The sequence below is a fragment of the Homo sapiens genome, chromosome 7 (assembly GCF_000001405.40).
Source record: "Homo sapiens chromosome 7, GRCh38.p14 Primary Assembly".
In the NCBI taxonomy this organism is placed as follows: Eukaryota; Metazoa; Chordata; class Mammalia; order Primates; family Hominidae; genus Homo; species Homo sapiens.
This window is the reverse complement of record NC_000007.14, coordinates 159085830-159099296: the sequence shown is the minus strand read 5'-3', so window position 1 is coordinate 159099296 and position 13467 is coordinate 159085830. Positions and strand designations below refer to the sequence as shown.

General features: G+C 54.1%; 1 protein-coding gene across 4 annotated transcripts in view, besides 1 other annotated feature; it reads left to right on the top strand.

The window, feature by feature from the left end:
- The window catches only part of VIPR2 (vasoactive intestinal peptide receptor 2), a 116693-nt gene that overhangs the window by 45571 nt on the left and 57655 nt on the right, over nucleotides 1-13467 (top strand). Inside the window, 1 exon segment of one of the 4 annotated variants that reach the window (NM_001308259.1) lies at nucleotides 2093-2462. The exons of the other annotated variants lie outside the window; for them this stretch is intronic. Within the exon segment in view, the coding sequence (NP_001295188.1) occupies nucleotides 2154-2462 (309 nt within the window). The 5' untranslated portion in view covers nucleotides 2093-2153. 4 annotated transcript variants of the gene reach the window in all.
- Nucleotides 626-3668: an enhancer, noted in NCBI's record as "VISTA enhancer hs1753". NCBI's record gives its function as "enhancer in: heart[14/18]" and the evidence as "EXISTENCE:transgenic organism evidence [ECO:0001131][PMID:17130149]".

Genomic DNA, 13467 nt, shown 5'->3' with positions numbered 1-13467 from the left:
TGCTTTGCTGTTTAGTCTGAAGAACTATTTTTCTTCTTAATTAAACATTTCAGAGATTCTGCAAATATTATAAGTGCATATTCACTGCTAAGGGATTAGAAAGTCAAAATATTTTAAAGTGAGAAAGCAAAGAAAAGGATGGCACAAAACCAAAATGAATAATTTTTCTTCCTGTTGCAGTTTCTGCTCGTTGAATACTTTGAATACTTGGTTGGTTTAGGGACTCGCTTCCAAGACGAAGCAACAGCACATAGCACAGGCGGCTCTGGAGGCTGCAAGCACCAGAACAGGCCCCAGGCAGCCACGGGGTGGACATGCACGGTCCTGGGCCGGCTCTGCCCACCGGCGAGCGCAGGGCTGCCTGGGAGCTGAACTGAACAGAGTTTCTCCTGCCCGGAGCTCACGCTTCGTCCCATCAGGCCCACTTGCTTCCCAGATTCACATTTTTAGTTGTGTTTCCTGCTTGCACAGGGCCAAAGTCTGCCCTGGGTGTTGTGTGTGCAATCATTATTGTTTATTGTTTTCGAAATTAATTAAATTCGAGAAAAAAAATTAGCCTCCACAGAAGCCACAGACTTGGCTACATGTGTGAGGGAATCAGCAGAGATGTGGGTGTGGGAGCCCCTGGGAGGAGAAGGGCTCTGCGGACCAGAGGGCTCTAGGGCAGCCCTGGGCACTGCTGAGCAGCTGCATCTCATCTGGACCTGGAGCCCAAGGGGCCGCACCAGCCGTGGCCATGGTCTGGGCCTTTATTTGGGGTCTCACCTGCTGCAGTCAGATCCTGAAGCAGATAAGCCAGCCAGGGATCAGTCTCCCTGTCCAAGGTCTTCCCGTCTGTGTCCTCTTCCTGCCAAGACCAGCTTTCAGGCCTGGGGGAGTCTTAGGTCTTCACTGAGTAAAGGGTTTCATCCACAGTGTATCAAGGAGCAATGGCCCCAGTCCTTGCCCTCCACAGCTGCTCCTCTCCGCTTGCCCACCCGCACTGTAAGCCACAGTTCTCGAGCACCACCACCAGCAGACTGAGGGCTCGGGATCACCAAGTGTGGGAGGCTCCCCGAGCCGTGTGCTGGGGCCCGACCACCCGGCCCTGCCCTGCCCTGCCCTTCATCCCATCACAACTCTTCTGTGCTGATGGATGGGGGCCGGGGTTCCCACTGCGTGGAAAACAGAACAGCTCAGGCAGAGGACGGGAGCGGCAGTGGCCGGGCTGGTGTGAGGCTGGGGATTCCGCTTGCCCCGGCAGGGCTCAGGCTTCCAAGAGGCCACGGAGGAGCTCCTGGGACTGATCGTGGTGCGGGCTCTGGCCCAGTGGGTCTGTGTGGGGGCTGAGACCCTGCCTTTCCAGCACGTTCCCAGCTGGTGCCAGTTGGAGTCAGAGCCTGGAATCCTTACACGAGAGGCCAGAAGCCTTGGCCTCAGCAGTCCAGGCCTGAGAACCCACCCAGCTGTCACTCACCGATGGCTGAGTGACTTTGCACAAAGCCCTGTTGCCCGCCCTATCCCACTCCTGGGATCAGACCCAGAAATCTTGGTCTGTGTGTCCCAACTGGCTACAATTGCTGCTCAGCTTCTGAAAGGTGCCTCTTCAAGCCTGTTTCTTGAAACAAGGCACTGAAAAGCATACGTTGTGTCAAAAGCCCAAAAGGAGTGGGAATTCTCCTTGGTGATTTGGATTTCATCTTGGGCACTGATGAAAGAGCACAGAGTGGGGGCCTCCCTCCTTGAGTCAGGGTCAGGCAGGGGCAAGGCAGTAGAATCTCTAACACCCTGGGCACTCACAGCCCTGCCATTGCTTCTGTGGTGGAGGTGGCCAGGGCGGAGTGTGGCGTTCCCGGGAATGGCCTCAGCAGCACACCGTGGTGGGCACGCGAGGGGGCCGGCTCCCGTAAGTCTTCTGTGTTACATACTGGTTAACTCCGTTCTTACATAAAGAGCACGTCTGCTAAATTTAGCCAAGAGAACTGTTTGGCATTTCGGCCTCCCCATGCTTCAAGTGCACACATTTCTTCCGTGTTACGCCACATCCCTAAAAATAAGCCTCTGCCCTCCTCCAGCACTCAGGCCACCGCAGTGACTCGTTCCCACTGATGGCAAACTTCACTCCCCAGGGCTCCCATCCCTGGTGACAAAGATCACAGCAGCTGGCACTGCAGATGCCTTTGTGGGAGGCACCATCTGATCATCCCGCCAACCCTCCTGCAACCCTGCAAGGACACACCAGCCTCCCAGGGTGCCAGGAGGAGCCTGCCAGAGACCCCCAGAGCGGCCTGCCCCAAATCACCTCTGAGAGCAGCAGCTTTTCTGAAGGAAGCCTCCCCTCATGGTCCTCAGGCCCAGCAGGTGCCAAGCTCAATGCCAGCCACGAGGGCATTGGCTCATCGAGTGATGGGAACGGGGACAGCAAGGCGGCCACAGAGAGGGTGGTCTCAGCCATGGACACAGTACGGCGGAAGCATCCCGAGGTGGGCCGGGACAAGAGCTGGGCCTGTGGCTGCTGCGGGGGCCACGAGACTGACCTCAGGCAGGGGCAGAAATCTGGCCACAGGCAGAAATCATTCAGCTGTCACCTGGCACAACCAGACAGGATTATGAGCACTTTTCTGCTGTTTAGTTTTAACCTGTGCATGTGATGCTTAATACTTTCCAAATAAATGGATGAGTCTTTTCAGGGCCAAAGGAGATACGGGACCAGGGAAGGAGGTTAAGAAGGAAATGCACAGATACGCTGGTGCCTGGGGATGGCGATTGGGTCTCCAAGTTCTTTAAGTTCTAAAGGAATCCGCTAGGGAAGATTCTCCTAATGGGAGGGAGATGAAGGTGAAGGAATTAGAGGTCCACATGATCAGGAAGGTGGAAGGATGGAGGAGCACACCAGGATGATGTGCAGCACAGGGCAGCGGACCTGTAGGAAACACAGCGGTGCGCCAGGCGCTTCTGGGCATGGAGCTGGCCGATGCCGGAGGAGGGGAGGTACGTGCCTGACCCAGGATGGACCATCCAAGGCAGCAGGGTCTGCACACCAGGCTCTGCATGAAGGAGTGTGTGGCCCCAGGCAGGGGTTGAAACTCTCCGGGCCTCGATGGATAGGAGGCCTGTCTTTGGGCTTGGGCAGCCTTGGGTGGGACCTCCGGCATTGTGCTCTGGGGAAGGGTCCAGCCTCCCTGCTGCTCCCCTTAAGGGGAGGTCTGTATGTGGGCGGCAGATGTTCAGCTTGGGCACCCAGCAGCTGGCTCTTGGGCTCCACAGGTGGGTGGGGCAGGGGCGCTGGTTCTGAGAAGGTGTGCGTCCTGCAGCTTGTTGCCAGGAGCCCCCGGGGAGCCTCCAGATCATACACCACACACCACACTGGCCCCTCCAGGACACACAGCACATGCTTCAGGACTCAGCATTTATGGTCCTCAGAAACAACTGTATTGAAGAAAGTGTGGAAACCCAAATTTCAGGGTTCTAGGGAGGTCTGTTAAAGACTTAAAAAAAAAAGAGAGAAGGAAGAGTTTTGAAGGGATTCACCTACTGCCTGTCAGGTCGGCACCAACTGTCATGTCGATGTGATTTGGAGCCTGGACAGGAGCAGGGGCTCGTGGAGACCACCGTGGGCTGGATAACGGCCAAGGGGGCAGAACAGCAGGGCCTTGAGTCTGGGGCTTCCGGTGACACTCCTGTTCTCCCTCTTAATAGTCCTTTTGCTCTATTTTCTGCTTTTTCAAAAATAAGAATATATTGGTTTTATATTTACAAAAATCAAATTTTAAGTACTAAAAAAACCACTTAAATTTATACGTGCTTTGCCTTTGAACCCCAGACTTTGTCAGTACAAAGAGGAAACTCAGTTGTCACATTCTCTCTGCTGTATCTTTCTTAGCAGCTGTTTTGAAGTTAGTTGCAAGAACAGGGCCAGGTTCCCCGACTGTGAGCCCTGTCACCGGCTGTGAGCATTTGCCCGGCCCTCACACTGGGTGTGTGCAGCACACAGTCACTTGCACACACGCCTTTTCACCCCTTAAATGTTAGGAATCCCCTAAAAGCAGGGCTGGTCTCTTAAATCTCTTCAGTAGTGTCATCAAATTTAGGAAATGTCCCATTTTCACTAATGCTGTCATATGATTTGCTGTCTCGGCTCCGATTTCATAGACTCCAGGCCAGGATAGTGCGCTGTGTGTGGTTGTGGTGGCTCCCCGGCTTTAATCTGGAACTCTCCCTAGCCCCTCTCCATCTTTGTGGCCGTGATGCCCTCAGAGACCTCAGCCCTCTCATTTCACGAAGTGGCTTTGCTGGGGTCTATCTGATGTCTCCTTGGGACTAGGTTCAGGAGATCTGCCAGGCACATGTTTTAAAGCAAAGTACAAATATTTGCTAGCAAAGCAAAGGCCCCCACTTCCTAGGTCAGTTGCCTTTTTTAATCCTAAACTCTGTGCATGAACTAGGTCTCAATGGGATAAAAAGCTCCAAATGTCTCTGTTTCTATACTTCAGAAATGTCATGTTTGGATTTTAAAAGAAAATAAGTTCTCCCTCTAACTTGGACATACCATAAAGGAAACACGTGGCTTAAAATAAGGTGTGTGGCACGGCATGGAGTCGCACTGATTACGGGCTGTCTGCCTCACAGCCGTGTACACGCAGGATCTTCGTCTTTAAAACGTCACCACCAGAGCCGGATGCCACCCTGCAAAGAAGCTGCAAAATCACACTGCAATTATCACCGCAGGCTCACTTGGGGTAACAGCAGTGCACACTCTTCTCTGGGAAACCAGCCCTTATTCAGAGGAGGAACAGGAGGCCACCCAAGGATGTCTCCGGTGCCTGTGCACGTGGCCACGACCTGGGCCTCCCAGCAGCTCTGGTTCCTGAGTGCCAGCCCTGGCTGACGGGTCAGGGGCTCCAAGGGCTCCTGAGGGCTGAGCTTAGCTAGTGGCTGATGTCAGAAGCAGCCATGGGCTCAACTTTCCTTGGGCCTTGGGCACTCTCTGGCCTGTGTCTAAATGATGTCCCCATTCCTCAGACAGCAAGATTTAAGGGGCAAGATTCCACGTGCTCATCAGAGACCCCGTGGCCTCTTCCTCTGCTGAGTCTGGAAGTGAAGCCACAGGTTTCACATCCCAGATGGCAGAGGCGAGGCCCTGGCTCCCATGGGGATGGAGCAGAGGGGAGGAGCCTCCCCTGTGGAGAATGAGACCAGGGCTGCAGTGAGAGACCATCCCCTCCTCTGCATCTCTCCTCTTGGGGCCTCTTAAATGATTTGGAAATCATTCCCCTAAAAATTGAGCCTTTCCTTGAGAGGTCAAGGCAGACTTTCCCATCACAGATGTGAGCCTGTTCCCCATCCTACCCTTCAGCTTCCTGCTCCCTTTCCATCACGCAGACATGACCACCAGCCCTGAAAGAGGGAGTCACGAGGGGCGCCCGTCAGCACTGGGCATGGGGTGGCCGCTGTCCAGGAGACTCAGGGACACTGCGGGGCCTCTCCCATGTCCGGACCCAGGGACGCTGCAGGGCCTCTCCCCTGTCCGGACCCAGGGACGCTGCGGGGTCTCCCATCTCCGGACCCAGGGACGCTGCGGGGTCTCCCATGTCCGGACCCAGGGACGCTGCGGGGTCTCCCATCTCCGAACCCAGGGACGCTGTGGGGTCTTCCATGTCTGGACCCAGGGACGCTGTGGGCACCTGCTTGTTGTGGGTGGAACAGCTCCTCGCTCCCATCTCGGATCCTGAGCCCAGCGCTGCTCTGCACTGACAGACTCCAGGGGAGTTTTCAGCCCAGGGAAGTGGTTATTTTTGTGAGAAATAAGACTATTTTTAAAAATCTCCCCTGAGTGAGTTGGAGAGGCTCCTCACTTCCGGCAGTGAGAGTGAGCTCCAGCCACACCCGCCAGCACCCTCGAAAGTAAGCGTGGAGCCGCGGTGCCTGCCCTGACTTCTACTAAAGGACGCTTCTTAAAACACGGTTGGTCTGAGTTTCCCATTTCCCTGAAGGATGACCTCTGAGAAGATGGACGAGACCAGCCTCCTGTGTTGACGTTTTCAGTCTCAACCTAAGGAAAAGTAAATGAGCACACAAAGTTCTCAAAGTCTACAGTGTTTTTAAAAATATAATGACGTTTACCTCTCACCTTCCTCCAGTAACTGCCAGTGTCTTGAGGAAATGTCTTCTGCCCCCACCAGCCCCCGCAGGACCACATCTCTCAGCTTGGGAGCAGCATCTCCGCTGCTAGACGGGTTCTCTGAGTGGACGGCACCAGTGCAGAAGTGGATGGCTTGTTCCACCTGCCTTGACTCCCCCAGGTCACCCACTCTCCCCGGAGAGGCTGCACACTCACATGCGTGTGTGGGTAACAACAGTCACAGCCTTGTTCCCAAGGCCTGAGTCTTGAGAGCAGAAGGGAGGCTGCTCTTGCTGGCAGCTCCACGCTGCTGCCCAGCACCAGGCCCATGAGACACCCAAGGCCCAGAACTCTGAGACACGGAGCCACAGTCCTTCCAAGCAGAAAGCCACGTTGCAAACACCGACCACCTCCCTCTGGCAGACACACAAATCTCTGAGAACAGCCGAACCCGGGAGGCGGAGCTTGCAGCGAGCCAAGATTGCACCACTGCACTCCAGCCTGGGCAACACAGCGAGACTCAGTCTCAAAAAAAAAAAAAAAAAAGAAAAGAAAAGAAAACAGCCTCCTGCCAAAAAGCATCCCGAAATTGCCCATGGAAGGAGGTTATTTTGGTGATCTGGTTCAAGTTATTTTGATGCCAGAGGCTGTACAATTTGGAATGAGTCAAGACTCTTCAGTTTAAAATGGGAAAGGAAATGAATATTTGAAGATAAATATCTCAAAGGGCAGTGCCAGACCAGAACCCAGAACCCCTCCTCACCCTGTCATCTTGAGGAGAAAATCCCAGAGGAGAGGATAAATGGGGTACTCAGGTCGCTGTCCCCTCCTCCTGACCTCAGATTAGAACATGGTGGCTGGGCCCATCTGGAGGGGACAGGGTAAGACCCGCTCCTGTCACACCTGGTGCTCTCGGCTTCATGAGTGTCAGATTCGCCAATTTCGCTCTGGGCCCCAGCCGTCCATTGCTGTGTCCTTTTGCTTAAAACAGGCTCAGCCTGCAGAGTCCACAGCTCAGGCGGAGGTGGGCAGTCTGTGCAGGTGGGAAGCCCTCACGTCAGCCTCTGACTCTGTCTTCACAGGAAAGCCCTGGGAGGTTCTCACCTCCGTTTTCTGAGGGACTAACCGCTGCCCAGGAGTTCAGCGGCATAATCTTGGCTCACTGCAACCTCCGCCTCCCAGGTTCAAGCGATTCTCGTGCCTCAGCCTCCAGAGTAGCTGGGACTACAGACGTGCGCCACCAGCCTGGCCAATTTTTGTATTTTTAGTAGAGACTCCTGGCCTCAGGCGATCTGCCCGCCTCAGCCTCCCAAAGTGTTGGGATTACAGGCATGAGCCCCTGCCCCTGGCCCAGGTGGCTTTTCTAACTGCGGTTGCTCAGGCCCGTGGAAGGAGGACAGGTCCAGGCCCAGCTGACTAGGAAGCAGCCTTCAGGGCCAGGCAGGCTCCCAGCCGCAGCTCTGAGTATTCCAGCCTCCTCCTGTGGCACCGACCAGTGCTCGCGTCCCGGGAACCACAGGAGGAGGCCAGGCAGGTCTCATGGCCCCTCGTTCCCCCACTGCTATTGCTGATGGGGGAACCGGACTGTGTGAGGAGTGACGTGCAGGGCGGGGCTTTCCCTGGGCCCCCTGCGAGGCAGGCATGTGCAAAGCAGGCAAGGAGGGCTGCAGTTGTGGGATTACACAACCTTTCACATCCCTTCCGTTATAAAAATTCCTTTCATCATCATATCACACCAAATAGCATAAATTATTGAGCGTTCACAGAGCACCTGGCACCATGCTGAACTCTGCATGGACTAGCTCATTCAGTCCCCCAGCCATCCATGGGATAAGGCGCTGCATGACCACACTTTACCATACAGGGACACGGCTCAGAAGGGGCAGCCGCAGACTCATCCATGAGCAGGGGATTCCCACGAGCAGTCGAGACATCAGCGCTTATCTTCTGCTTCATGCGCAAAGCCCTCTATTAACCTCACTTGTGTTGCTCCAGTTCCGTAAACCACAATTCGATGCTTCTACGGAGCTCCTGGGGCAAAGTAGGTTCCCAAGGAATCCAGGCTTTACCGGTTTGGTAAAATGGTCACAGGAAGTGGCCTCTGTGTGTGATCACAGCGTGTCTGTGCTGAGGTCACCAGAGATTGTGATGGTCACAAGAGGTGGCCCCTGTGCGTGGTCCCAGCGTGTCTGTGCTGAGGTCACCGGGGATTGCAATGGTCGCAGGAGGTGGCCCCTGTGCGTGATCCCAGCGTGTCTGTGCTGAGGTCACCGGGGATTGTGATAGTCACAATAGGTGGCCCCTGTGCGTGATCCCAGTGTGTCTCTGCTGAGGTCACCGGGGATTGTGATGGTCACAAGAGGTGGCCCCTGTGCGTGGGTCCCAGCGTGTCTGTGCCGAGGTCACTGGGGATTGCAGTGGTCGCAGGAGGTGGCCCCTGTGCGTGGTCCCAGCATGTCTGTGCTGAGGTCACTGGGGATTGTGATAGTCACAAGAGGTGGCCCCTGTGCGTGATCCCAGTGTGTCTCTGCTGAGGGCACTGGGGATTGTGATGGTCATAAGAGGTGGCCTCTGTGTGTGGTCCCAGCGTGTCTGTGCTGAGGTCACCGGGGATTGTGATGGTCACAAGAGGTGGCCCCTGTGCGTGGTCCCAGCGTGTCTGTGCTGAGGTCACCGGGGATTGCAATGGTCGCAGGAGGTGGCCCCTGTGCGTGATCCCAGCGTGTCTGTGCTGAGGTCACCGGGGATTGTGATAGTCACAATAGGTGGCCCCTGTGCGTGATCCCAGTGTGTCTCTGCTGAGGTCACCGGGGATTGTGATGGTCACAAGAGGTGGCCCCTGTGCGTGGGTCCCAGCGTGTCTGTGCCGAGGTCACTGGGGATTGCAGTGGTCGCAGGAGGTGGCCCCTGTGCGTGGTCCCAGCATGTCTGTGCTGAGGTCACTGGGGATTGTGATAGTCACAAGAGGTGGCCCCTGTGCGTGATCCCAGTGTGTCTCTGCTGAGGGCACTGGGGATTGTGATGGTCATAAGAGGTGGCCCCTGTGTGTGGTCCCAGCGTGTCTGTGCTGAGGTCACCGGGGATTGTGATGGTCACAAGAGGTGGCCCCTGTGTGTGGTCCCAGCGTGTCTGTGCTGAGGTCACCGGGGATTGTGATGGTCACAAGAGGTGGCCCCTGTGCGTGATCCCAGCATGTCTGTGCTAAGTGTCTCCTTTGGTGCCTGCCTTGCTTTTGATTTGCCATCCCCTTTCATCCACAGTAATTTTTTAAGTCCTGATTTGCTCTTCTTTTCTCTCCACGTGTAACTTCTCCCTTCCCCACAGTGATCCTTGCTAATCACAGCATCTTCTAGATGTGGAATGCCTTGTTCTCACAGAAATGCTGCCTCCTCCTGCCATCCTGTATGCAGTGTACAGCCAGTGAGGTATTAGTTGTTAGGGTCCCGTGCACTTTTTGTGACATTGGGACAGGTTTTTGCTGTTGTTGTTGTTGTTGTTTTACAAGTGGAGAAACCTGAGTTGTAAAGCATGTAAAGACTTGTCTCAGGTTTCCTTGCTGACAGAAATCACTAATATGTATTGAACATCTAGCATGTGCTAATAATATTAGTTATAATGATAATAATAGTTGTTGTTAAGGGCTTACTGTGCTCTAAGCACTTTACATGAAATTCTAAATTTAATGCGCAACACTGCCAGACAAGAACTATTCCCATTCCACAGATGAGGAGCCGAGGCCTGAGGCTATTCCCATTCCACAGATGAGGAGCCGAGGCCTGAGGCTATTCCCATTCCACAGATGAGGAGCCGAGGCCTGAGGCTATTCCCATTCCACAGATGAGGAGCCGAGGCCTGAGGCTATTCCCATTCCACAGATGAGGAGCCGAGGCCTGAGGCTATTCCCATTCCACAGATGAGGAGCCGAGGCCTGAGGCTATTCCCATTCCACAGATGAGGAGCCGAGGCCTGAGGCTATTCCCATTCCACAGATGAGGAGCCGAGGCCTGAGGCTATTCCCATTCCACAGATGAGGAGCCGAGGCCTGAGGCTATTCCCATTCCACAGATGAGGAGCCGAGGCCTGAGGCTATTCCCATTCCACAGATGAGGAGCCGAGGCCTGAGGCTATTCCCATTCCACAGATGAGGAGCCGAGGCCTGAGGCTATTCCCATTCCACAGATGAGGAGCCGAGGCCTGAGGCTATTCCCATTCCACAGATGAGGAGCCGAGGCCTGAGGCTATTCCCATTCCACAGATGAGGAGCCGAGGCCTGAGGCTATTCCCATTCCACAGATGAGGAGCCGAGGCCTGAGGCTATTCCCATTCCCCAGATGAGGAGCTGAGGCCTGAGGCTATTCCCATTCCCCAGATGAGGAACCGAGGCCTGAGGCACTGGGATTGTTCTCCCAGCAGCGTTTCCAGGCTGTGACCAGAGTAGCTGAATGGACTCCGGAGCTCACTGCTTTCACTCCGTGGTGCAGGCCGTGCTGCCACCGCTGTGTGATTCCCTCTCCAGCTCAGACAGTGGCTTCTCCAAGAAATCCTACTCAGGTCAGGGCTTAGTCCAACTTGTGAGACACTGTCCTGTGCACTTGCTCGCTGTGATGTGAATAACGTGGTGGGACTGTCCTGACTCCTTGCAGGTGTATAGGTGTGCTGCAGCAGGTGTGCAGGTGTACAGCTGTGCTGCAGCTTGTGTGTGGTATACGGGTGTGCTGCGGTGGGTGTGCAGGTGTTCAGGTGTACTGCCGCAGGTGTACAGGTGTGCTGCAGCATGTGTGCGGATGAACAGCTGTGCTGCAGCTTGTGTGTGGTGTACAGGTATGCTACAGCAGGTGTGCAGATATACAGGTGTGCTGCAGCATGATTGTGGTGTACAGGTGTGCTGCAGTGGGTATGCGGGTGTTCAGGTGTACTGTCGCAGGTGCGTGGCTGTGCTGCAGCATGTGTGTGGATGTACCAGTGTGCTGCTGCAGATGCTGGCTCCTCTGTAGGTTCTCTCAGGATTGGGCAACAGTCAAGGCTGATGGATGCTGTGCTCTAGTAGGTAGAGGAAGAACCATTCTTGACTGTCAGAAGACCCTAAGGCTCATTGCCGGCTTCCCCTGTAAAAGACCCTCAGGCTCAGTGCCTTCAGGGGTCGGGTGGGCACCGATTGGGGCCCCCAGCCAGCCACAGGACTTCCTGCAGCCTGGATTATGGGGGCAGCAGGGAGAGGATAGGGAGTGCCCCCACTTGGGTATTGTTTGTTTGGGAAGCAGTATCTCACTATCAGGATCCTGTGTGTTGTTTGCTGGGGAAGCCGTATCTCACTATCCGAGTCCTGGATATTGTTTGTTGGGGAAGCTGTATCTCACTATCTGAGTCCTGGGTATTGTTTGTTGGGGAAGCCGTATCTCACTATCCAAGTCCTGGGTATTGTTTGTTGGGGAAGCCGTATCTCACTATCAGAGTCCTGGCAGAGTGTGGTTATTGTTTGTTGGGGAAGTCGTATCTCACTATGAGGATCCTGTGTATTGTTTGTTGGGGAAGCTGTATCTCACTATCAGAGTCCTGGGTATTGTTTGTTGGAGAAGCTGTATCTCACTATCAGAATCCTGGCAGAGTGTGGTTATTGTTTGTTGGGAAGCCGTATCTCACTATCCGAGTCCTGGGTATTGTTTGTTGGGGAAGCTGTATCTCACTATCTGAGTCCTGGGTATTGTTTGTTGGGGAAGCCGTATCTCACTATCCAAGTCCTGGGTATTGTTTGTTGGGGAAGCCGTATCTCACTATCAGAGTCCTGGCAGAGTGTGGTTATTGTTTGTTGGGGAAGTCGTATCTCACTATGAGGATCCTGTGTATTGTTTGTTGGGGAAGCTGTATCTCACTATCAGAGTCCTGGGTATTGTTTGTTGGAGAAGCTGTATCTCACTATCAGAATCCTGGCAGAGTGTGGTTATTGTTTGTTGGGAAGCCGTATCTCACTATCCGAGTCCTGGGTATTGTTTGTTGGGGAAGCCATATCTCACTATCCGAGTCCTGGGTATTGTTTGTTGGGAAGCCATATCTCACTATCCGAGTCCTGGGTATTATTTGTTGGGAAGCCGTATCTCACTATCAGAGTCCTGGCAGAGTGTGGTTATTGTTTGTTGGGAAGCCATATCTCACTATCAGGATCCTCGGTATTGTTGGTTGGGAAGACGTATCTCACTATGGGGATCCTGGCAGAGTGTGGTTTTCTTCACGTGAGGACATGTGAGTCTACTCTAGACCATTTGAGGTAAGAGCTGATGTTTTATTCACAGAACCTGAAGACAACCTGCTGGTGTCACAACCAGCCTCCAAGATGCACTTTTGCTGCTTCAGAGAATTGTGTCACTTCCATGTTTATTACATGGGTATCAGCTACTCACTGAGGAGTCATGGCTTTGTGCCATCCTACGGGGTGGGAAGCAAGCACCGTGAGCCAAGGGTCCTGGGCAGGCGCTCGGAGGCAGGCAGAACTCAGACCCAGCAGGACCAGCTCCTGGGCACAACACCTGGCCATGGAGAATCAGCGCAGCTGTCACACCCAGGTGGCCCATGTAAAGAGGAAGAGCATCCCTGGAAAGAAACTTCACATTTGACATCCCCCGGGTTGAGAGCTTGTCTCTCACCTTCCTGAACACTCAGCAGAACCATGCAGGCCCCAGCCTCAGCCCTTCCTGGGGGCAAACCCATGTGGCAGGTCTCAGCCATGCAGCCATGGTGCAGGATCCAGGCTGTCACAGCTTTTGCTTTGGGAAGGCCTTTTCAGCTTACCTCAGATTCCGGGATGTTACAGTCCCCCGCGTGGGTCAGAACAGGGCACCTCCCCACAACCCAGCTCAGCACGGTCTGATTTTCATAGGACTCCATGGGCAAAACAAGTCAAGATCATATCTGTGCTTTACCTTGCTGTTGGAAAAACAGTTCTCACTGGAAGACACATTCTTAAGATGGAACCACCCCAGGCATCCCTGAGTTCTCCACTAGACTTAGCAGCTCCTGATTTTTCAAGTTAATCGACTTTTTAGAGCAGTTTTATGGTGACATAAAAATTAAGCAGAAAGTACAGGGGATTCTCGTGCAGTCCGCACTGCCCAGTGCCTCTTATTAACATGTTTTGTTAATGTGGTGCACTTGTTACAACTGATGGCTTTGGTATAATATTGACCCCTTGTTGTTAACTGAAGTCCCTGGTTTACTTAGGGCTCACTCCTGGTGGTTTGCATTCTGTGGGTTTGGACAAATGCCTAATGACAAGGACCCGCCATCACAGCATCGCGCGGGTCGTCCTCGCTGACCTGAAACTCCCCTGTGCTCCGCCTCTTCGTCCCTCCTTCCCCAGCCCCTGGCAACTGCCG